Genomic DNA, 24,130 nt, shown 5'->3' with positions numbered 1-24,130 from the left:
CTGGGAGGCAGAGGTTGCAGTGAGCCAAGATGGTGCCATTGCACTGCCTGGGCGACAGACTGAGACTCCATCTCAAAAAAAAAAAAAAGAGTACCTATGCTAGGCATATGGTAAGTGCTTCATGACCCCTGCTAAGATCGGCCAATGCCAACCAACCCACAGACACATGAGTTAGGAAGCTGCCTGGGGTTAAGTCACTAAGATTTTGAGGTTGTTTGTTATGCAGCATTAGCTGACTGATACAGTTGCAATAAGGATTAGATGAGATGGTTCATGAAAATTCCTCAGAACAGTGCTGAGCACATGAAAAGCACTAAATAAAACACTAAATTGGCCGGGCATGTTGGCTCACATCTGTAATCCCAGCACTTTGGGAGGCTAAGGCAGGAGGATCCCTTGAGCCCAGAAGTTTGAGACCAGCCTGAGCAACATACTGAGACCCCATCTCTACAAAAATTAGGATGGCATGGTGGGGCATGCCTGTAGTCACAGCTACTCCAGAAGCTGAAGCGGGGGGATCACTTGAGCCCAGGAATTTGGGGCTGCAGTGAGCTGTGATCACATGACTATGCTCCAGCCTGGGTGACAGAGTAACATTCTGTCTCCAAAAACAAAACAAAACAAAAACCAACCAAACAAAAAACATCATAGCCAGTCACTAGCACATTGGTAATATGTGTTCAACATTCTAGGTGAGGAAAGGAATGACTTACCAAAGTATCAATTCCACCTTCTCTCTATTGCTTAAATGATCACTTATCTCTGCTTTGTAACCATCAAGAGTCTAGATTACCATCATTCATTTCCCGACCCTGCTAATAACCTGTTACCTTTTTTTTTTTTTTTTTTTTGAGACAGAGTCTCACTCTGTCACCTAGGCTGGAGTGCAGTGGCGCAATCTTGGCTCACTGCAACCTCCGCCTCCTAGGTTCAAGCAGTTCTCTGCCTCAGCCTCCCAAGTAGCTGGGGTTACAGGCACGCACCACCATGGCCAGCTAATTTTTGTATTTTTAGTAGAGACGGGGTTTCACCATCTTGGCCAGTCTGGTCTTGAATGCCTGACCTCGTGATCCACCTGCCTTGGCCTCCCAAAGTGCTGGGATTACAGGCGTGGGCCACCGCACCAGGCCATAACCCTTTATCTTGTCTCTACTCAGTCATGCCTGTCCTTCCTATACTCCATCCCCACCATCTAGCTGACTCTGCTAAACACCCTTATCTTTTTTTTTGTCTTTTTTCTTTTTTCTTATTTTTTTTAGACAGACTCTTGCTCTGTTGCCCAGGCTGGAGTGCAGTGGCACGATCTCGGCTCACTGCAACCTCCACCTCCTGGGCTCAAGCAATTCTCCTGCCTCAGCCTCCTGAATAGCTGGTACTACAGGCATGCACCACCACTTCCGGCTAATTTTTGTGTTTTTAATAGAGACAGGGTTTCACCATGTTGGCCCAGGCTGTCCTCGAACTCCTGACCTCAAGTGATTTGCCCGCCTCGGCCTCCCAAAGGGTTGGGATCACTGGAGTGAGCCACCGTGCCTGGCCTAAACACCCTTATCTTTTAAAGACATACACTTTTTAATTTTATTTAATTCTTTTAGAGACGAGGTCTGGCTCTGTTGCCTAGGCTGGAGTGCAGTGGCGCCACCATGGCTCACTGCAGCCTCGACCTCCTGGGCTTAAGGATCTTCCTACCTCAGTCTCTTGAGCAGCTGGGAACACAGGCGCGCACCACCCCCCCCCCCCCCCGCCTAATTTTTAATTTATTTTTTTGAGCCCGGGAATGGTGCGGGCCAGCAAGGGAGAGCACAGGGGCGGAGCGCGGGGGCGGGGGCCGCAGGGGCAGGGTACCAGACGGTGCCCAGCGGTGGGTGTCCGCCTGCAAGGAAGCAGCCGCATTCGGCTGCGGGCACTCAGAGGCGCCGCTCAGCGGGAAGCCCTGGCCGCATACTCAGCGCTCCCGGCAGGGCTGTCACCCGCGCATGTGGCCAGGTAGCGCGCAGCTCAGCGCGAACGCAGCGGGCACCGCAAAGCTGGGGCGGGCCGCGGGGGTGGGAGGGTCAGGGACAGAGACAGAGAGAGGTGGGGGAGACATAGCCAGGGTCGGATGGGGGAGGCGGAGATGGAGGATGCCCGCAGAGAGCAGCACGGGTGTGCCCGGGGAAGAAACAACGAGGAACCGAGAGAAGGGGAACGGGAACAGGGGAAGGGGCGGGGCAGAGGGAGGTCCAGAAAGAGAGACATGCAGAGAGCCAGCGGCACGGAGGAGACATAGAGACACCGAAAAAAGAGGCATAAAAGACAGAAAGACCTTGTTAATCAGGCCGGGCGCTGTGGCTCACGCCTGTAATCCCAGCACTTTAAGAGGCTGAGGAGGGAGAGCCGCTTGCGCCCAAGGATTCGAGGCAAGCTTGGGCAACATAGTGAGACCCCTGTCTCTATAAAAATTGTTAAAAATTTTAAAAAGACCTTGTTAATCAAACCAGACCAATCAAATCAAGTCATACCCCTGCCTGTCTTGCCGCATCTAATCTGGTCCTAACTGTTCTCCAGTACCCACCCTTCCTCGCCTAGCCCCACTGCCCAGGCCTGAACTTCTGTTGGTCCTGACGCGACCGTCCCCTGGTGGCCCATGTCAGGGCTCTTCAGAGCTTACCCCTCTCTCGAAAGCACACTCGTGACAGAAGGCAGACTCCCAGAGCCCTGCAAGCCACAGTGTAGGCAGCCAGGGCCCAGTATATGGTTCAGTGGGCGCTGTATTGGTGGCACACAGTGGGCCAGGCACTTGCTGAGGAATGGGCCTGGTCACAGTGCTGCATAGCCGGGCTCCAAGGGATCCACCGCCACTGCCAGCCACACTCACTGCCCATTCCTGGTGAATAGGGCATGCACGGCCATCTGGCAAAATCCAGGGCAGAGGGGCCCACAGACCTGGCTGCAACCTGGCAACTTAGCAACCTTCCGGGCATTGGGCAAGGATGTAATAGGGTCACTGGGGCCAGAGTCTACACAGGTAGGGTCCATATGGCCATGGCAGCATCACAAGTGCCAGGCTGTCCCAGTCATAGCAAGAGGCCAAAGTCTGTGTCCATGTACAGCTGGCAGCCCCAAAGTTGGGTGTGGAGGTGGTGGCCATAAGAGAAGGGCAGCGATTCCCAAATTCCGTCTACCTACACAGAGGGCATGCAGGCAGGTTGAACAGCAGCAGGAGATGGTCACTGAGTAGTGGGGGAGTCAGCAGAAAGGATCAGAGAGGGGTCAAAGAGAACCTTAGTGGCTGGTTAATGGGGGGAGTCATTAGGGATCATAGGAGGATTTGGTGGGAGGTAAGCTTGGGGCTCAATGGGGGGTCAGTATAGGATTCAAAGGGGGATCCATGGCAGAGTGGTTGGATGGCCAGAGTTGATGAGAGGTCAGTGGAAGTTCAATGAGGGGCAATAAGAGAATGGATAAGAGTCAGTGAAGAGGGGCCAGCAGCGGGGGGCAAGGGGAGGATCTAGAAAAGGGCAATGGAGGAAGGGATGGACAACTCCGTGGATCACTGAGGACCGAGGCTTAGTGGCTTTGGGCGACAATGGGGGCTCCCCTGGAGAGTAAATGGGGGTGGAGTCAGAAGGGTAGTCAGTGACTGACAAACGCTGCTGGGTTTGTGGATGGCAGTTCAAGGTTAATGGGCAACATCCTACTGGGAAGGATGCCTCTATGATCAATGAGGGCCTAGTGAGACTTGGACAGTGCTCTAGGAGAAGGTGTGCCAATGAATGAATGGGACACTATAGAAAACTCAACAGGGTGAGAAGATGAGTCAAAGAGAGGCTCAATTAGAGGGATAATAGAAAAGCAGGGGAATGCAGTGCAGGAGTTAGTCATATCCAGTATAGGAAGCTCAGTAGAGAATCAGTAGATGGCAGGGGTGGGGGCTTGATGGGCAGGTCCACAGGGGGTAAATGAGGACATTAATAGGCCAGTCAATGGATCACTGGGAAGGTCAACAAACTGCTCAGAAAGCATCAGTGTGGGAGGTCGGGACGGTGTCGGGTGGGGTCAATAGGACAGTAAATGGGATTAATGGGCAAGTCAGTATAACAGCAGTAGGATTGGTCAGGTATGGTGGCTCATGCCTCTAATCCCAGCACTTTGGGAGGCCAAGGCAGGAAGATCATTTGAGCCCAGGAGTTCAAGACCAGCCCGGGCAACATAGCGAGACCCCCTGTCTACAAAAAATTTTAAAAAGTAGCCAGTTGTGGTGGCGTGTGCTTATAGTCCCAACTACTCAGGAGGCTGAGGTGAGAGGATTGCTTGAGCTCAGAAGGTTGAGGCTGCAGTGAGCCGGGATCACGCCACTGGACTCCAGCCTGGACAACAGAGAGACTCTGTCTCAACAAACAAACAAACAAACAAACGTAGTAGGATCAGCTGGGGGAGGGCAATGGATGACTCAATGAAATAATTAATGGGATGTCCAATGACAGGGAGGGTCAATGCAGAGATGAGGCTGAGCCTGTGGGTTGAGGGGATTCAATTAGGGAGTTAATAGGATGACTATTGAGGATTCAATGGAGAGTCAATGGGAGGGTAAGTGGAATCTCAATGGCGGTTAATAATGACAAGTGGATGCCAGGCATGGTGGCCCCCTGTAATTCCAGCACTTTGGGAGGCTGAGGCAGGTGGATAACTTGACATCAGGAGTTAGAGACCAACCTGGGCTATATGGTGAAACCCCGTCTCTACCAAAAATACAAAAATTAGCCAGGCGTGGTGGCACGTGCCTGTAGTCCCAGCTACTTGGGAGGCTGAGGCAGGAGAATCACTTGAACCTGGGAGGTGGAGGTTGCAGTGAGCTGAGATCACACTATCGCACTCCAGCCTGGGCAGCAGCATGAGACTCTGTCTCAATAATAATAATAATGACAAGTGGAGAGTCGTGGGGAGGGGTCAACAAGCAAGTCAAGGGGAAGGTGGTGAGTAGCCACTGGTGCCACTAGGGCCACTAGGAAATTGGAGTAGACATCTTTAAGGGCCAGGGGCAGAACTACTAGAGGGAGCATCAGTAGGAAAAGAGTAGTCATCATGGGTGACCGGGGAGTAGATGGGACAGTGAGGAAGAGTGGGTCAGTGTGGGGCCTTTGGAGCCTCACCTCACTGTGGTTGAGGTCTTTTGGGCTCATGTCCTCGGGCCACAGGGTGAGAGGGTCAGGGCCTTGGGGAAGCTGTGTGGCCACAGAAGTGGGAGCAGATCCAGGCTGAAGGCTCAAGGTTGGCATGGGCTGCGCCACAGAGACGCACCAGGCAGTGGACACAAGAGATGAGGAATTCATAGTGAGCTCCTCCAAATGTGTGGAAACAGACAGCTCCCATGGCAGTGCAGACCTGTGATTCCTCCAGGACAATGGGGCTGGACAGGGACTGGGTTGACAGGCAGCTGTGCCAGCTACCTGTGGAGGCCTTGCAGTGATCTTGGCACTTGTCAGGCCAGCACTGGGGCACCCTGGTTACCAGGACCCCAAGGGCTGGGCAGCAGCCCTCCTGCAGCAGGCAGCTAGTCAGGCTTTGAAAGTAGCGGTACAGGGTGGCTGCAGTGCACTGGGGCTGATGAGGTTGGCACATGTGGCTGGGCATGCAGAGCCATGTGCGACAAAGCAGGAGTATTCTGGGCACTGGGGACTGTGGCTGGGACACAATGGTGGGAAAACAAGTGGTGGGGTCACAAGACTCAGGGCAGGGGTCGAGGTGGGGGGCTGTCAGAGGAAGAGGGATCAGGGACCCATGAAGACAAGGTCCCCAGTCCCTTCTTTCTCATGATCCAGAAGTCACGCCCCGATATGTGTGTGTGTGTGTGTGTGTGTGTATGCGCATGAGTGTGTGTGTGTGTGTGTGTGTGTGTGAGAGAGAGAGAGACTCGCTCTTTCACCCAGACTAGAGTGCAATGGCACGATCTCGGCTCACTGTAACCTCTGCCTCCTGAGTTCAAGTGATTCTCCAGTCTCAGCTTCCCGAATAGTTGGGATTGCAGGCACCCATGACCACATCTGACCAATTTTTGTATTTTTAGTAGAGACAGGGTTTCACCATGTTGACCAGGCTGGTCTTGAACTCCTGACCTCAAGTGATCCACTTGCCTTGGCCTCCCAAAGTGCTGGTATTACAGGCATAAGCCACCATGCCTGGCCTCATGCCCCAATCTTTGACTCCACTTCTGTAACCACACAACTGCACCAAAGCCACAGCCATGGACACCTCAGAATTGACAGCCTAAGACTCCATCTGTGATGCCACATACCTGCCCTCTAGGGCAGCTGAAGGGGAACATGGGTCATAGCCTCTCCTAGCCAGCAGGTACAGGAGGAGGAAGGGACCTTGATGAGGATGGTCTGGCCAGGCTGGGGAGGAATGGGGGTTGGGGGTGGTGTGGGGATGGTGAGGTGGTCATGGAGGGAGGGTGCAGCTATGGGTTCTGAGATAAGACCCATGTAAGGATAAGTACGGGGAATCAGTGGATGACCCAAGCAAGACTGTTAACAAAGACCGGAGAGAATGCTTGCAGGGAAGTACTGGCCATTGCAGAAGGAGGAACAGGGATGCAGTCACCCCCAGCCGGGAAGACTCCATCCTTACACTTGTGGCCCTCAGCATGGGGAGTGGGGAGCCCTACCACCTCTTGCACACCTGGGTTCACACACAGGCTGTGGTGGCTGTGCCAGGAACACAGCCTGGCTTTGGAGAGGTGGCTTGAGAGGCTCAGGCAAGCCAGGGACCCACCCTCTATTCAACCAGCATCCCCAGACAGCATCCTCCCAGCAACCCTCCCCCTTGGATTAATTATAGCAGCAATAATAACAACCGGCATTGACTGGGCAGTGTCTGCATACCATGCAGTGTGCTAGCTACTTTCAAGTGCCCTGGACATGACAAACATGGCTTCCTTGCTCTTTTTTTGGAGGGGTCTTGCCTACTATTCCCAGCCTCTGCTGACAGGGAGACATGTGGTCCCACCCAGCATCATGGGTGTGTGGGGAACCTGTCAGGGATCTCTAGTAATGAATGCCTTTTTTGCCTTCCCCACCCTTTTTTTTTTTTTTTTTTTTGAGACGGAGTCTTGCTCTGTCACCCAGGCTGGAGTGCAGTGGCTCGATCTCAGCTCACTGCAAACTCCTCCTCCTGGGTTCATGCGATTCTTCTGCCTCAGCCTCCCAAGTAACTGGGATTACAGGTGCACACAACCACGCCAGCTGTTTTGTTGTTGTTGTTGTTGTTTTTCACATTTTTACTAGAGATGGGGTTTCACCATGTTTGCCAGGCTGGTCTCGAACTCCTGGCCTTGGGTGATCCACCCGCCTCAGCCTCCCAAAGTGTTGGGATTACAGGAGTGAGCCACCACGCCTGTCCCTCACCCTTCTAATAATAATACTTGCACCTTCTTTTTGGCAGCTGCCCGTACTTTCAGCATGTGCACTGAAGGGATTCCATATCCAGGATCCAGTGATGTGTACAGGACCCAGGGCTGCCTAATCAGCTTATTTCTCACGCCTCTGGGCCCCAATCATTGGCCAGGCAAAGCCTATCAGAGGCAACCCTGGGACCTTTGCAGGAACCGATGGCAAAGGGTGTTAAATTTTCTCCAGGGTCTGTGCATAGTGGATCATACCTGTAATCCCAGCAATTTGGGAGGCTGAGGTAGGTGGATCGCTTGAGCCCAGGAATTCAAGACCAGCCTGGGCCACATGGCAAAAGCCCATCACTACAAAAAGTACAAAAATTATCTGGACATGGTGGCGTGTGCCTGTAGTTCCAGCTACTTGGGAGGCAAGGATGGGAGGATCGCTTGAGCCCAGGAGGTTGAGGCTGCAGTAAGCTGATATCACACCATTGAATTCCAGCCTGGGCAACAGAGGAAGACTCTGTCTCAAAAAAGAAAAGAAAAGAAAAGAAAAGAAAAGAAAAGAAGAGAAGAGAAGAGAAGAGAAGAGAAGAGAAGAGAAAAGAAAAGAAAAGAAAAGAAAAGAAAAGAAAAGAATCCTTCCTGATAGAGTGACCACATTGTGTTCACATGACCCTACCTCTTGCCATAGATGGTTAGGTCAGAGCTGGACAAAAAGTGTGTGTGTTTCGCGGGGGCGAGAGGCCAATCTATAGCAAAAGGCCAGACAGATTCCCTCAACGAGCACTTCAACCTAGAGGCAAAAAGAGATGGGGGGAGTGGAGGATGGTGACCCAAAAAGGGTAAGTCAGGGTGGGGCCAGGAATCCTTGAGGCACATGGAGGAGACGTGGATATAGAGACTCCAAGTTGGGGAGAATCTGTTAAATCCACGAACAAATATTCAGATGCCAGCTATGCCATGTTTTAGGCATGTGACATCGGGCACATTCCTTAACCATCCATGCCTTGGTTTCCTTCATCCATAAAATGTAAATGGGAGGATTGATTGAGGGAGAACAGGGCTTAGAACTGAGAGAGTACTCAGTAAAGGTCAGCCGTTCTTTTTTTTTTTTTTTTTTTTTTTTTTTGAGATGGAGTCTCGCTCTGTCACCCAGACTGGAGTGCAGTGGTGCAATCTCAGCTCACTGCAAGCTCCGCCTCTGGGTTCATGCCATTCTTCTGCCTCAGCCTCCCAAGTAGCTGGAACTACAGGCACCCGCCACCACTCCCGGCTAATTTTTTGTATTTTTAGTAGAGACGGGGTTTCACCGTGGTCTCGATCTCCTGACCTCATGATCCACCCGCCTCTGCCTCCCAAAGTGCTGGGATTACAAGTGTGAGCCACCATGCCCGGCCTCCGGCTAATTTTTGTCTTTCTAGTAGGGACGGGTTTTTGCCCCGTCTAGTAGGGACGGGGTTTTGTCCAGGCTGGTCTCAAACTCCTGGCCCCCTGTGATCCACCCGCCTTTGCCTCCCAAAGTGCTGGGATCACAGTGTGAGCCACTGTGCCTGGCCCTTTTTTTTTTTGAGACAGGGTCTCACTTTGTCACCCAGGCTGGAGTGCAGTACTGCCATAATAACTCACTGCAGCCTCCAAATCCTGGGCTCCAGTGATCCTCCCTACTCAGCCTCCAGAGCTGTGGTTGGGACCACAGGCACATGCCACCACACCTGGCTAATTGTTTAACTTTTTTTGCAGAGACAGGGTCTTGCCATGTTGCCCAGGCTGGTCTTGAACTCCTGGGTTCAAGCAATTCCCAAAGTGTTGGGATTACAGGTGTGAGCCACTGCACCTGGCCAGATTTTGCATTTTCAATAAGCTCTGGGTGTTGCTAATGCTGCTGGGGGGCTTTAAGAACTGCTGTCTTCAGGTAGCCCCTGATGTAGGTTGTGTGCCCTGTAAGTGTTAGCTAAGAAAGAAAATCAAATCTGTCTTCCCCACAAGAATATGTGCAGTACTCAGCTGAGCGCGGTGGCTCACGCCTGTAATCCCAGCACTTTGGGAAGCTGAGGCAGGCAGATCACCTGAGGTCAGGAGTTTGAGACCAGCCTGGCCACCATGGTGAAACCCCATCTCTACTAAAAATACAAAAATTAACCGGACGTGGTGGTGAGTGCCTGTAGTCCCAGCTACTCGGGAGGCTGAGGCTGGAGAATCGCTTGAACCCAGGAGGTGGAGGTTGCAGCGAGCCGAGATTGCGTCACTGCACTCCAGCCTGGGTGACAGAGCAAGAATGTCTCAAAAAAAAAAAAAAAAAAAAAGGTATGTGCAGGACTCTATCCTGTTGGTGCTCTATCTCCAGCCTATGCCCAGCACTTAGTAGGTCCTCAATCCGTACCTGTGGAGTCACTACAGACCAGACCCAGGTCTCTTGCAGGCCCTGCCTCATGCTGGCTCTGTCCGCTCTTGGGTGGAGACTCACAGCAGAGGCCCAGGCCCTCCAGGACAGCACACTGGTACCAGCCATCAGCTCACAGGCAGGCATGGGGCACTTTGTGGTTCCAGGGATGTGGTCCACTTCGGCCACGCAGGCCTGGAAGAAGGACTGTCTGGTGACAGGTGTGTGTGACAGGGTGCCAGTGGGTCCCTGGCTAGGCAAGAGGCTACAGGCACTGGACCACATCGTGTCTGTGCCAGGGTCCTCGGTGGCTGCCGGACAGACTGACCTTGGGCAAGTATGCGGCGGGGCGCAGGGCTCGGGCCTCGGCAGCTGCCAAGTCATCCACCTGCTGTCTTACCTTTGCAGTTGCCATGGAGGCCACGGGGAATCAGAGGTCGGAGGCGGTGTGCCAGGACTGGTGCGGGAAGAGTGGAGGGGGATCAGATGCATGTGAGAAGGAACATGGGGGTGAGGTATGAAGAAACACGGGACTGTGGGGGAGGGGAGAGCCGAGGCGAGGGGGTTGTAGGCAACACTCAGGATGGGCATTGTGGAGTACGACCAGCACCACGGCAGGAAGTCAGGGGAGGGGCGTGGAGACCAAGGGAGGAGGAGAGAGAGTAGTAGGGTGGGCAGGGCGGTGTGGGGAGAAACAGGGATTAGCATTAGGGACAAGGGAGGGATCTAGAGCCAGGGAGGAGTCTGGAGAGACTAAGAGGACGAGGGGCTATTCTGAGAGGAAGGGTTGGTGGTGAGGGAGGGGCAGGCAGGGAAGGGGTTTGGGGAGGAGCCAATGGCAGCTGTTGGGGAGAGGGGTCACTTCCAGATCTAAGAGGAGGAGAAAGAACGGGGAGATGAAGACTTGGGGCAGGAGAGAGTGGTGGGGCGTGCTGGCGTGGTGAAGTGAGGGAGGAGGGGAGTGGGGGAGACACAGTGAGACTGGGCTGCATGGAGCAGGAGGTGCGGCCAGCAGGGGACTGGCTTTAATCAGAGCAGGGCTGGCACTTTAGGATGGGTTAAGGTCCAATGTGGACCATGAGGGCCAGGCACGGCAGCTCATGCCTGTAATCCCAGCACTTTGGGAGGCCAGTGGATGAGCTGTGGCCAGGAGTTTGAGACCAACCTGGCCAATGTGGTGAAACCCCATCTCTACTAAAAATATAAAACTTAGCTGGGTGTCGTGGTGCACACCTGTAATCCCAGCTACTCAGGAGGCTGAAGCAGGAGAATTGCTTGATCCCAGTAGGCGGAGGTTGCAGTGCCATTGCACTCCGGTCTGGGCAACAGAGTAACACTCCATCAAGAAAAAAAGAAAGAAAGAAAGAAATAAGGAAAGGGAAAGGGAAGGAGAGCGATACAGAAGTGCAGATGGGAGAAGGGAGGAGAAGAGTGGAAATTAGGGTGTTGGCAAGGGGAAGGGAAGGAAGGCATCAGAGAGCCATACACAGAGATCCTGTCCACCGGAACAGAGATGCAAAGTTGCTAAAATGAGGTAAATGACAGGACAAGGGTTCTCTTGACTGTCCCTGGTTACCGAGGTCCACACCAAAGTAGTGGCCATGCACACATAGCAGCAGCACATGGCAGAGGCCGGACAGTCCCAGGTCTCTCTCCAGCACCACCTCGAAGGGCTGCACACCCCACAGGCAGCCCAAAACCGTGCAGACACCCAGGAGCCCAAATGTGGTGCTCCCAAAGGGGCGGTCATGGAGTTGCCTGAGGCTGTGCAGAGGCCTGGGGCCTCCTAGGGGATGTGGCAGGGTTTGCAAGCCACCAACCTTGGCAGGCAGCAGCACCAGATGGCGGGCAAGTGGCTGCCGTGGGCCCACCCTCCATGCAGGGGGCGCTAGGATCTGTCATCTGGTGCCCTGCAGGGGTGGGGCTGGAGAGCTCAGCTTAGACAGAACTGAAGCTGGAACCTCAGATCAGTAAAGCCCAGGTGGCTAACTGTGGTTCACAGGCAGTGATGGGTCTCTGGGATGGGTGACGGCTTCGGGGCTGGGCCGTGATCAGGTTCTGAGTCCCTGAAGAGATAAGGGCTGAAGTGCTGGGCCATAATCAGGGCTGAGATTGGGGAAGCATATGAGGTGGGGGCTGGCTTTAATCAGAGTAGGGCTGACACTTTAGGATGGGCAATGGTTGAGGTCAAGTCTGGACAATGAGTGGGGAGGGGGTGAGGCCGGCATCACGGGAAGTACAAGGTCTCAGGGATTAAATGGGGCAGTGAGGGTCTGCCATCCTGGGATAGGCAACAGCTGAGGAGCTGAACTCCAGTCGGGAGTGGAGCCAGGCTCCCCAGATGAACAAACCCGGATGAGCATGCGGCAGGGTCCAGCACCCAGACACATCTCCACCACTCAGTGTTGGAAATAGGGACCTGGTGCCAGCAACTCATGACACAGCTGGAGGGGCCCCAGGGCATCCAGGAGGATGCCATAGATGTGAACAAAGTGGGCCAGGGTGCTAGTGGTTGGCAGGGTGGCACAGGATGGTGGTCATGATGGCATCTTGCCAGAGGCATTTGGACACCCAGACAGCCCACCAAGCAGCCACAGGCCCAAGCCAATATGTCCTCAGGCAGCTTGGTGCTTGCCTCAACTCTGGGCATCCAGGTACCCCCCAGTGTAGTCAGCACCTAACCCCGCCCCTATTGCTGCTGGTAGCATCAGTGTTGCATGGATCCCGGGGTGTAGGTCCCACACAGGCCAAAGGGGCAGCTGGCCATGGTGTCCCAGCCCTGGCAGAAGATGAGTGCACTGTTGCCTGGAGCCTGTAAGTGCAGATTCTTGCAGTCACCATTCACCTGCGGGGAGAGGGCAGGTCAAGCTAGAGCTTGGGGGCCCAGTGTCAGTACCAAGGATGCCTGGACCCCTGCTTTTAGCAGGGGTTCTGGGGGGCCAGTTGAGGGGCTGGGGGTCTGTCCACAAACCTAGAAATGCTTGGACTGCTGTTCATGATCCTGACCACCCTTTTCAACAAATCTTGAGAGGTAAGAATTATGGATTCTGGAGGTTGGGACTATAGTTTTCCTCAATTAGAATTGATATAGTTTATGTGCAGAATAGGCTGGGTGCAGTAGGTGATGCTTTAATCTCAGCAACTTGGGAGGCCAAGGCGGGCCAATTGCTTGAATCCTGGAGTTCGAGGCCAGCCTGGACAACACAGTAAGACCCTGTCTTTCCAAAAAATGAACATACATATTGACTTGCACCTGTAGTCCCAGCTACTAGAGAGGCTACAGGGGCAAGAGGTGAGAGGATTGCTTAAGTCCAAGTGGTTGAGGCTACAGTGAGCCGCGGTCCCACCACTGCATTCTAGCCTGGGCAAGAGTGAGACTGTCTCAAATACATACATACACACACACACACACACATACACACACACACACACACACACACGTGTATAAAATAGAACAGTTCTCAGCTCATAGTTGGTGCTCAATAAATATTTGTCGAACTAATGCATGAATGAATAAATGAATGAGGTTCATAGGTGATGCTGGTCTATAAGCATTCCAAGGATGCTGGACTTTCTAAGTAATGGCAGGGGTTCCAGGGTGCTGTGATGACTGGTACTGGGCAGGGGGTGGGCCCACAGCAGCTACAAATGCCTGAACTGCTGTCCATGGTTCTGATCGTTGTTGTCCACAGCAGTTGTGTTTGGCATCTAGGATTTGGGGGGCTGTGAGGGTTTGTAAACATTGGGGATTGGGACTTTAGAACTCCTGGATCCTATATGGGGGTGCCCAGGACCTGGACTGAGAGTGTGTTCTGAAATTCAGTTAACATACTTAAAGAAGCACTTCAAATAGTGCCTGGAACACAGTAGATACTCAATATATGGTTGTTGAATGAGGAAATGGAATTATTGGCTCAGAACTGGGTTCCAAGATCCCAGAGTCTGACACTTCTGGTACACTGGGGCTTGCCCTTGAGATTCTAGGATTTTGTTTTTGACAGAGTCTTGCTCTGTCGCCCAGGCTGGAGTGCAGTGGCACAATCTCGGCTCACTCCAATCTCCACCTCCTGAGTTCAAGCGATTCTCCTGTCTCAGCCTCCCTAGATTCTGGGATTATAGGCACCTGCCACCACACCCAACTAATTTTTGTATTTTTAGTAGAGATGGGGTTTCATCATATTGGTCAGGCTGGTCTTGAACTCCTGACCTCAGATTATCCGCCTGCCTCAGCCTCCTAAAGTGCTGGGATTACGGGCATGAGCCACCGCGCCTGGCAGGACCCTGTCTCTTAAAAAAGGAAGAAGCAGCCTGTGTCGCAGGCACAAGTATGCCCGCAGGGCAGTGGTAACCCCCAGTGGGCCTGCCTGTGGGGGGTCTCTGGACAGGATAAGCCACATGGCTCATAGTGATTGTTTTCGGGGCACTCAATAGCTGCAGGGGCAGGAGTGGGGATGGAGAAAGACAGGAAGGGAAAGGTATTCACACCAGGACTCCCAGGTCTGGTTTCCAAGACCCAAGCATTTGGCCACCCCTATAGTGCAAATGTCCCTGCTCTCAGCTTCCAGGAATCCCTACCAACATCCTGTGGTCCTCACCCTCTAGAATGGAGCTCTCCAGGCAACAGACCCAGCAATCCCTGCCTCACAGAGTAAAGAAGTCTCTGTGCTAAGAAACCAGAAGTCCACTCCCCAGAACATAGAAGTCTGGCTCTGGGACAGGCGTAGTGGCTCACATCTGTAATCCCAGCATTTTGGGAGGCCAAGGTGGGAGGATCACTTGAGCTCAGGAATTAGAGACCAGCCTGGGCAACATAGGAAGACCTCATCTTTACAAAAAAAATTAAAAAATTATCTGGGCATAGTGGCACATGCCCGTGGTCCCAGATACTTGGGAAGCTGAGGAGGGAGGATGGCTTGAGCCTGGGAGGTTGAGGCTGCAGTGAGCTATGATAGTACCACTGCACTCCAGCCTTGGCAACAGAGTGATACCCTGTCTAAATAAACAACAGAGTGACATCCTGTCTAAATAAATAAATAAGTCTGGCTCTGGGACTCAGAGCGCTCACCCCAGATACTGGAGTTGTCACCACCTAGGTGTTCTAGTCTCTAGAACTTGAGAACCCAGCAGTCCCAGCCCTATAGCCAAGTTGTTCCCATGCCCAGGACCCAGAAGCCCTGGCCCCAGACCCAAAGAGCCCTGTCTCTGGGCCCTAGAATTATTTTCCCCGCACCCCCCAACTCAGCAGTCTTGCCCCCAGGACCCAGAGGCTGTCCCCTTCCAGGGACCCTACACCCTTGCCCCAGGAATCAGCCTCCAGAACTAAGGAGTGTCATTCCTAAGTCCCAGAATCCCCTTTACCCAGCAGCCTATAACCCTTTCCCTTGAAGGGTCACTCACGGCAGCCAGCCCAGAAGCTCGAGGGCTCAGTGTTGACACTGAGGCCTGACAGGGTGTACACAGACATGGAAGCACTCCCAAAGCGTAGGCAGGGAGCTGGGGAAGGGGCATATCCAGGCACGGCACTGGCCTCGAAGGGTGTAGGTGTCACACTTGGTGGCAGTGGCTAAGGGGCCCCTTTGGGGCTACAGGGACAGCACAGGGCCCCCAGTCTCCTGTGGGGACTAAGGCTTGGCTCAGGGTATCAGGTGGCTGCGGGGCCCAAATGCACGAAGACCAGTGGATCTGGACTGCCCATGTCATGGTCCTGCCTGAATGAAGTCACTGCACAGTCTGCCTTGTGTGAGTGGCAACCTTCAGCCACGTGCAGTGACGTGTGTGCTGCCGGTTGTAAAAGAGATGCAGTGTGGGCGGTTCTTGCTCCAGACCTGCCTCTGCCCATGGTTCTGAGGTGTGGAAGTACAACCATAGCCATCTGTCGCCCAGGATAACTGACAGCCCCAGCTGCTGTGGGTTCCCCTGCAGGAGTGACCAAGAGCTGGGGTCTTCAGAGGGGCTGAATTCCTGAGCATCGGGGAGGGGTGGAGGATAAGGAGGTTGAGGGGGTTGGATTCTGGGATATTGAGAGTGGGGCCTTTGCAGATCTAGGATGCCCCACCCTCGTCTACTAACCAAGAATCTTTCTTTTTCTTCTTCTTCTTCTTTTTTTTTTTTTCGAGACAGAGTCTCACCCTGCCGCCCAGGTTGGAGTGCAGTGGCACAGTCTCGGCTCACTGCAAGCTCCGTCTCCTGGGTTCACGCCATTCTCCTGTCTCAGCCTCCCCAGTAGCTGGGACTACAGGCGCCTGCCACCACGCCCCGTAATTTTTTGTATTTTTAGTAGAGACAGGGTTTCACTGTGCTAGCCAGGATGGTCTCGATCTCCTGACCTTGTGATCCGCCCACCTTGGCCTCCCAAAGTGCTGTGATTACAGGTGTGAGCCACCGTGCCCAGCTAACCAAGAATCTTTCTGTGTGTGTGTGTGTGTGTGTGTGTGTGTGTGTGTGTGTGTGTGTGTGTGTGTGTTTAAGTAGAGACGAGGTTTCGTCATGTTGCCCAGGCTGGTCTGGAACTCCTGAGCTCAAGCAGTCTGCCCACCTTGGCCTCCTAAAGTGCTGGGATTGTAGATGTGAGCCACCATGCCCAGCCTCTATCCGGGAATCTTTTTTTTTTTTTTTTTTTTTTTTGAGACAGAGTCTCGCTCTGTCTCCCAGGCTGGAATGCAGTGGCGAGATCTTGGCTCACTGCAACCTCCACCTCCCAGGTTCAAGCAATTCTGCTCTCTCAGCCTCCTGAGTAGCTGGGATTACAGGCGTGCACTACCATGCCAAGCTAATTTTTGTAGTTTTAGTAGAGACAGGGTTTCACCATGTTGGTCAGGCTGGTTTTGAACTCCTGACCTCGTGATCCGCCCGCCTTGGCCTCCCAAAGTGTTGGGATTACAGGCGTGAGCCACTGTGCCCGGCCTTCTTTTTTTTTTTTTTTAAACTGGGAGTCTTGATTTCAATATCCAGATTTGTCCTAACACAATACTTGCAAGTCCTCTTCTCAGGAATCTAGATGAGTAATCCTACCAAGGAGCCAGGTGTGCCCACCTCATCCAGTAAACAGGAGAGCCTTCAGACAGGACCCAAGGGCTTCCCCCATTACCAAGAGCCTCCACCTGTCCTTCCAGATCAAGGGGTACCTCCTTTCTCCCAGTCCATGATTTCCTTATTTTGCCTCACTTGGTGGTTTCCAGCCCACATTTCTCCTGCGTTCACTGCCCCACCCTGGTCCAAGCCCCATTGTCTCCTGCCGGGACTACTGCAGCAGCCTCCTCACTGTTGTTCCTCCAGGCCTCATTCCTTCACAAGCCCTGTAATCTGTTCTCAACTGGCAGCCACAGGGATGTTGTTAGTGTCTGATATAGTTTGGCTATTTGTCCCTGCCCAAATCTTGGCAGGGCGCAGTGGCTCACGCCTGTAATCCCAGCACTTTGGGAGGCTGAGGCAGGTGGATCACCTGAGGTCAAGAGTTCCAGACCAGCCTGGCCAACATAGTGAAACCCCGTGTCTACTAAAAACACAAAAATTATCCGAGTGTGGTGGCATGTGCCTGTAGTCCCAGGCTACTTGGGAGGCTGAGGCAGGACAATTGCTTGAACCTGGGAGGCAGAGGTTGCAGTGAGCCAAGATCTCACCACTGCACTCCAGCCTGGGCAACAGAGTGAGACTCAGTCTCAAAAAAAAAAAAAAAATTCTAAAATTCCAATTAATTGAGGAAGGAACACAGGAGTGTCAAGTCCTTGGGAAAAGAGGGATCATGTTGGTGAGAGTATAAGTCTGGAGCCCTGAGTATCTGAAGGTTCTGGATACCTGGGGTGGGGGCTACTGGATGCTGGGGAGCCTTAAGAGCACTGGGGGGCATCCTGACCCCTGAGTGGCAGGGCAAACTCCCAGGCGGTGTGGAGGCAGGTATGCAGCATCATGGCTTCACGTCTCGGGTCCTAGCTTTGCATATTTTCTGTGCTTTCCATATATTAGCTCATTTAATCCTCACTACAGCCCTATGAATCAGATCTTTTCATCATTCTCATTTCACATATGAAGAAATTGAGGCCCAGAGAGGTTAAATAATTTATCCAAGGTCACATAGATATCAAGTGCCAAACCGGAATTTGAACCCAGGCCACCATTGTTTTTCTATAGTGGTGCTGAGGGGTGGCCTAGTGTGGCAAGCCACATCTCATGAACGCAGGCCTCCATAACAACTGTTTTAGCACTGACTGTGGTTGGGTTAAATACTAAAAGCTGATAGAGGCCAGGAGCGGTGGCTCACGCCTGTAAGCCCAGCACTTTGGGAGGCTGAGGCAGGAGGATCATCTGAGGTCGGGAGTTCGAGACCAGCCTGGCCAATATAGTAAAGCCCCGTCTCTACTAAAAATACAAAAAAAATTAGCTGGGCATGGTGGTGCACACCTGTAATCCCAGCTACCTGGGAGAGTTGAATCTGGGAGGAGGAGGTTGCAGTGAGTTGAGATGGCGCCACTGTGCTCCAGCCTGGACAAGAGAGTGAGACTCCGTCTCAAAAAAGAAAAAAGAAACAAAACAAAAAACGCTGGTAGAGCCAGCGTCCATACAAAGGCTGGAATGTAACAAAAGCTCACCAAGAGTTTAGGCCAGGCCTTTCCTGGCCCTTGAGGCATGACAAGATCATGAAGGAATTCCTTTATTTTTTGTTTTTTTGAGACAGAGTTTCACTCTTGTTGCCCAGGCTGGAGTGCAATGGCGCGATCTCAGCTCACCACAACCTCCACCTCCCAGGTTCAAGCAATTCTCTTGCCTCAGCTTCCCGAGTAGCTGGGATTACAGGCATGCGCCACCATGCCCAGCTAATTTTGTATTTTTAGTAGAGATGGGATTTCTCTGTGTTGGTCAGGCTGGTCTCGAACTCCCGACCTCAGGTGATCCTCCCGCCTCAGCCTCCCAAAGTGCTGGTATTACAGGCATGAGCCACCATGCCCAGCCTCACGAAGGAATTCTTAACAGTTCCCATTTAAGATTATACAAGCTTTATTGGGGGTCTGAAGGAACTCCCCAGACCTTCACAAACAAGCTTTATTGGAGACTAAAGGAACTCCCCAAGCCTCCATAATTTAGCAGGAGACAAGATAAGGGTAATCACCCCAGCACCTGGACCCATTTAGATGAAGTAAATTTACTCATGTAAGTTTGCATTCATCTAAAGACATAAGTGATTAATTTCTTCTAATATAGCCTAGAATGTATATAAGCTCTGGAAAACGTTATAATTTTGAGTTGATCTGGGGATAATTTCCAGGCCTTCTCCCTGTAATCAGTTACAGAAATAAAAATTCTCTTCTTTCCCAGTTTATTTGTGTCTCATTATTAGGCTGTGAGAATAAGCAGCCCAACCCTCGGTTTGGTCTGGGTACACTAGTACATCATAACCTTCATCAGGTCCCCCCAGCCAGCAACCCGGATTAAACATACTCTAGCCCCCACAACCTTCTAACCAGAGCAGAGCCCCTAAACCTTCCTGGAGGAGAGATTTGGGACATGCTAGTGGCTGCATGTGGTCCTAGGATATGTTCACAGCTCGGGGAATTTGGAAGCTTCATATGCCTGTGTCAGGAAATGATAAACACAGCAAACACCCCCTCATATGACACTTACCATGAGTTGGACTCTGTTCCAAGTGCTTTTCCTGTGTTAACTCATTCTCACCTCACAGGAACCTGCTGAGGGAGGAGCTAGAGAGCCACAATCCCTTATCTACCATCTACAAAAGCAAACAACAACAACAACAACCAAAAGACCTGAAGACTGAATATGTTTTGTGTGTTTGATGTTAAAACTCAATTATCAGCAAAAGCTAACCTGAACTCATGTGTGGCTGCTATAGTCTTAATTTATCCTCCTTTGTGTGACTATTCAGACATTTCACTGCAAAGATATTAATGTTTGTGATTATGTAACACACACTGGGAGTGTTATATAATATGTGGCATTTGCCTGGTTTGACCATTCTAAATTCCAAAATCTGAAATGCACCTGGCCCCAGACATTTTAGATAAGGGACTTTGGACCTGTATAATTGCATCTTTTTTTTTTTTTTTTTTTTTTTTTTTTTTTTTTTGAGACAGACTCTCACTGTGTCCCCCAGGCTGGAGTTCGGTGGCGTGATCTCAGCTCACTACAACTTCTGCCTCCCAGGTTCAAGTGATTCTCCTTCTTTAGCATCCCCAGTAGCTGGGATTACAGGCACCCGCCACCATGCCCAGCTAATTTTTGTGTTTTTAGTAGGGATGGGATTTCACCATGTTGGCCAGGCTGGTCTCGAACTCCTGACCTTAGGTGATCCGCCCACCTTGGCCTCCCAAAGTGCTGGGATTATGGGCATGAGCCACTATGCCCGGTAAACAATTTTTTTTTTCTTTGAGACAGTCTTGCTCTGTCACTCAGGCTGGAGTGCACTGGCACACTCTGCTCACTGCAACCTCTGCCTCTTGGGTTCAAGTGATCCTCCCACCTCAGCCTCCCTAGTAGCTGAAACTACAGGTGAGCGCCACCAGGCCCAGCTAATTTTTGTATTTTTAGTAGAGACGGGGTTTCACCATGTTGGCCAGGCTGGTCTCGAACTCCTGACCTCAGGTGATCCGCCTGCCTCAGCCTCCCAAAGCGCTAGGATTACAGATGTGAGCCACCGCCCCAGCCTATATCATTGCTTCTATTTTAGAGGTGACAAAAATGACCTGCCAGGCATGGTGGCTCACATGCCTGTGATTCTAGTGCTTTGGGAGGCCGAGGACAGAAGATTGCTTGAGGCCAGGAGTTTGAGACCAGCCTGGACAATATAGCGAGACCCTGTCTCTTCAAAACAATTTAAAGAGCCAGGCATGGTAGTGTGTGCCTGTGGTCCTAGCTACTTGGGAGGCTGAGGTGGGAGGATCACTTGAGCCCAGGAGATTGAGGCTACAGTGAGCTATGATGGCACCATTGCACTCCAGCCTGGGTGACTAAACAAGACCCTGTCTCGAAAAAGAAAAAAAGCTCCCAAAATTGATGAACAGAGAAGGATGGGGTCTCCCAAGATCCCATACACTGTGATTCTTATCTGGATAGGGCCACACTTGTGCTTGACAGCAGTGATGGTAATACCAAAGATGCACCCTGTGACAAAGCACATGGGCTGCCTCCCTTCAGGACAGGAGACCCACAGTTAGGAGGCAGGGAGGCTGCTGAGGAGGGACTAGGGGCATCAGCTCAGCATGTAGGTGCAGATCCCAGGCATGGGGAACAAGTGGTCATTGAAAATCTAGATGTATACTGGCCAGGCACGACGGCTCACGTCTGTGATCCCGGCACTTTAGGAGGCTGAGGTGAGCAGATCGCTTGAGGCCAGGAGTTTGGACCAGCCTGGCCAACATGGTGACACCCCGTCTCTAAAAATACAGAAATTAGCCAGGCGTGGTGGTGCACACCTGTAATCCCAGGTACTCGGGAGGTTGAGGCAAGCGAATTGCTTGAGCTTGGGAGACAGAGGCTACAGGGAGCTGAGACTGTGACATTGAACTCCAGTGTGGGTGACGGCAAGACCCTGTCTTTTTTTTTTTTTTTTTTTTTTTTTAGATGGAGTCTTGCTCTGTCGTCCAGGCTGGAAGTGCAGTGGTGCAATCTCGGCTCACTGCAACCTCCACCTCCCGAATTCAAGCAATTCTCTTGCCTCAGCCTCCCAAGTAGCTGGGATTACAGGGACCCGCCACCATGCCTGGCTAATTTTTTTGTATTTTTAGTAGAAACGGGGTTTCACCATTATTGGCCAGCTGGTCTCAAACTGCTAACCTTGTGATCCGCCCATCTCGGCCTCCCAAAGTGCTGGGATTACAGACATGAGCCACTGCGCCAGGCCCGACCCTGTCTTTAAAAAAAAAAAGAAATCAGGCCGGGTGCGGTGGCTCATGCCTGTAATCCCAGCATTTTGGAAGGCTGAGGTGGGCGGATCACCTGAGGTTGGGAGTTCAAGACCAGCCTGTCCAACATGGAGAAACCCCATCTCTACTAAAAATACAAAATTAGCCTGGTGTAATGGCACATGCCTGTAATCCCAGCTACTCAGGAGGCTGAGGCAGGAGAATCGCTTGAAGGTAGAACCTTCAAGCTTGAACCTCTACCCGGGAGGTAGAGGTTGCAATGAGCCGAGATCGTGCCATTGCACTCCAGCCTGGGCAACAAGAGCAAAACTCCTTCTCAAAAAAAAAAAAAAAAGAAAGAAAGAAAGAAAAAAAGTCTAGATGTATGGTAGCCCAGAGGCTCAGGTGGTAGCCCCTGTGATGGCCCCTTGTCCTTTGCTACAGTCAAGTCCTAATTTTGCCACAGCCAGAGTCTTTAAGCTTGGTTTAGTCACTGTCACCACCTTGAGCCCCAGCTTGGCCATGAGACAGTTCTGACCCAGACACAGATACTGTCTTGGTTTTGGACATGGTTGTAGACAATGGTTAGCTATGGGTTTGGTAGGTGGTATAGGTGCTGGTTCAGCTACAGCCAGAGTTGCAGGAAGTGGTTCTTTCACAGTCACAAGTCGAGGCACTGGTGCGGCTGCAGCTACAGGTTCAGGGCAGGGTTCATTTACGGTCACTTGTGCAAGCCCCAGATGAGCCATGGCCACAGGTTCAGGCTCAGGTCCCCCCAGGAGCACAGGCACAAGCCTTGGCTCAGCTTCAGGTGTGTTGTTTGGTCCTGATGCAGCCACTGCCATGGTCTTAGAGCTGAAGATGGACGGTGTTTTGGAGTCCTGCCATCTTGGAACTGGACAAGGTCTCAGACTCACATGTGACCTGAGTGGTGGGCACACATTTAGGCCTTTTTCATTTATTTATTTATTTAGATTTTAAATTACTTTTTTGTTTTTTGTTTTTTTCTTTTTTCTTTTTCTTTTTTATTTTGAGGCAGGGTCTGGCTCTGTTGCCCAGGCTGAGGTGCAGTGGTGCGATCTCAGCTCACTGCAACCTCCACCTCCTGGACTCAAGCCATCTTCCCACCTCAGCCTCCTAAGTAGCTGGGACTACAGGTGCATGCCACCTGGCTAATTTTTGTATTTCTTGTAGAGTCAGGGTTTTGCCATTTTGCCCATGGTGGTCTCCAACTCCTGAGCTTAAGTGATCCACCCATCTCTGCCTTCCAAAGTGCTGGGATTACAAGTGTGAGCCACTGTGCCCAGCCACACACTTAAGTCTGTGCTTCACAAGCTGACATGTGGTCCCATCAGAGCATGTATGGCCCTCACAGGAGACCTGGAACTGGAGTGGCATCACCAGGGAAGACTAGGAGGGGATGGGACTCTATGAAAGGGCTCACTTCCTCCTCAGTCAAAATATTTAGAGATGAGATGAGGGAAGGATGCAATATAATTGGATCCTGGAATTTAGCCTCATCCCCGACCTGCCTTCATACCCCGGGCCTCCAGGGTCCCTGGCACTGGAAACTCAACATTCAGAAGCTATCAGTGTTCCCAATTTAAAATAAACTGGGTCTGTATGTATCAGCAGAAAGAAAAGAGTGGGACTGAGGGACAAAATGATCAGCACGGCCTGGGTGTAGAATAGGTCTGTAGGGAGCTCGAGAGCACAGGCTGCATCTGAAGACAGCCAGATTCAATTATGTGAGCATCTCTATGCCAGTGCAAATGTATGGTGCATTGATTCTGGCCATCGAGGACTTCAACTTGCCACATTAAGCAGACTTGAGGGTAGGATGTGAGAGTGTGTGTGTGTGTGTGTGCGCGTGTGTGCGTGCGCATGTGTGTATGCTGTGGGGAACTGGAGACATATATTCCTTCCTTCTTCCCAGGAAGGGATGTTATTTATTCATTGCTATCAGTGCACGAAGCTAGCCACCTACAAAGTGAACTTTTTTTTTTTTTTTGAGACAGAGTCTCACTCTGTCACCCAGGCTGGAGTGCAGTGGTGTGATCTCAGCTCACTGCAGACTCCACCTCCCGGGTTCAAGAGATTCTCATGCCTCAGCCTCCTAAGTAGCTGGGATTACAGACATGCACCACCACATCTGGCTGATTTTTGTATTTTTAGTAGAAATGAGGTTTTGCCATGTTGCTCAGGTTGGTCTCGAACTCTGACCTCCGGTGATCTGCCCACCTCGGCCTCCGAAAGTGCTGGGATTACAGGCATGAGCCGCCACACCTGACCCCAAAGTGAACTTTTAAGAATAATCTTGTGTTCTGTAGAACTTTGCATATTTTCTATCACAATGGAATATAGAAAAAAAAAGATGGAATATAGAGTTTTCGTATGGACTGAGCTAGAGTGTCAGCTCCCTGAGGGCAGGGATGTTGTCTGTGTTGTTCACTGTTGCATCTGCAGTGCCTAGAACAGGCCTAGCCTGAAGAAAATGAAAAAAAAATTGCTGCAAAGTAATACTGG

The 24,130-nt window shown here is 51.8% G+C and overlaps 3 annotated features.

The window, feature by feature from the left end:
* Positions 2,236–2,295: an enhancer, noted in NCBI's record as "active region_14511". NCBI's record gives its function as "activates an Ori minimal core promoter by ATAC-STARR-seq in GM12878 lymphoblastoid cells {active_cell/tissue: GM12878}" and the evidence as "EXISTENCE:reporter gene assay evidence [ECO:0000049][PMID:35858748]".
* Positions 13,284–13,484: a silencer, noted in NCBI's record as "peak3455 fragment used in MPRA reporter construct". NCBI's record gives its function as "represses an SCP1 promoter by STARR-seq MPRAs in K562 erythroleukemia cells {active_cell/tissue: K562}" and the evidence as "EXISTENCE:reporter gene assay evidence [ECO:0000049][PMID:32103011]".
* Positions 15,484–15,684: a silencer, noted in NCBI's record as "peak3454 fragment used in MPRA reporter construct". NCBI's record gives its function as "represses an SCP1 promoter by STARR-seq MPRAs in K562 erythroleukemia cells {active_cell/tissue: K562}" and the evidence as "EXISTENCE:reporter gene assay evidence [ECO:0000049][PMID:32103011]".

Source organism: Homo sapiens, chromosome 19, assembly GCF_000001405.40.
Source record: "Homo sapiens chromosome 19, GRCh38.p14 Primary Assembly".
NCBI classification, from domain to species: domain Eukaryota; kingdom Metazoa; phylum Chordata; class Mammalia; order Primates; family Hominidae; genus Homo; species Homo sapiens.
The sequence above is the reverse complement of the archived record's forward strand: the minus strand, read 5'-3'. Positions and strand labels throughout refer to the sequence as shown.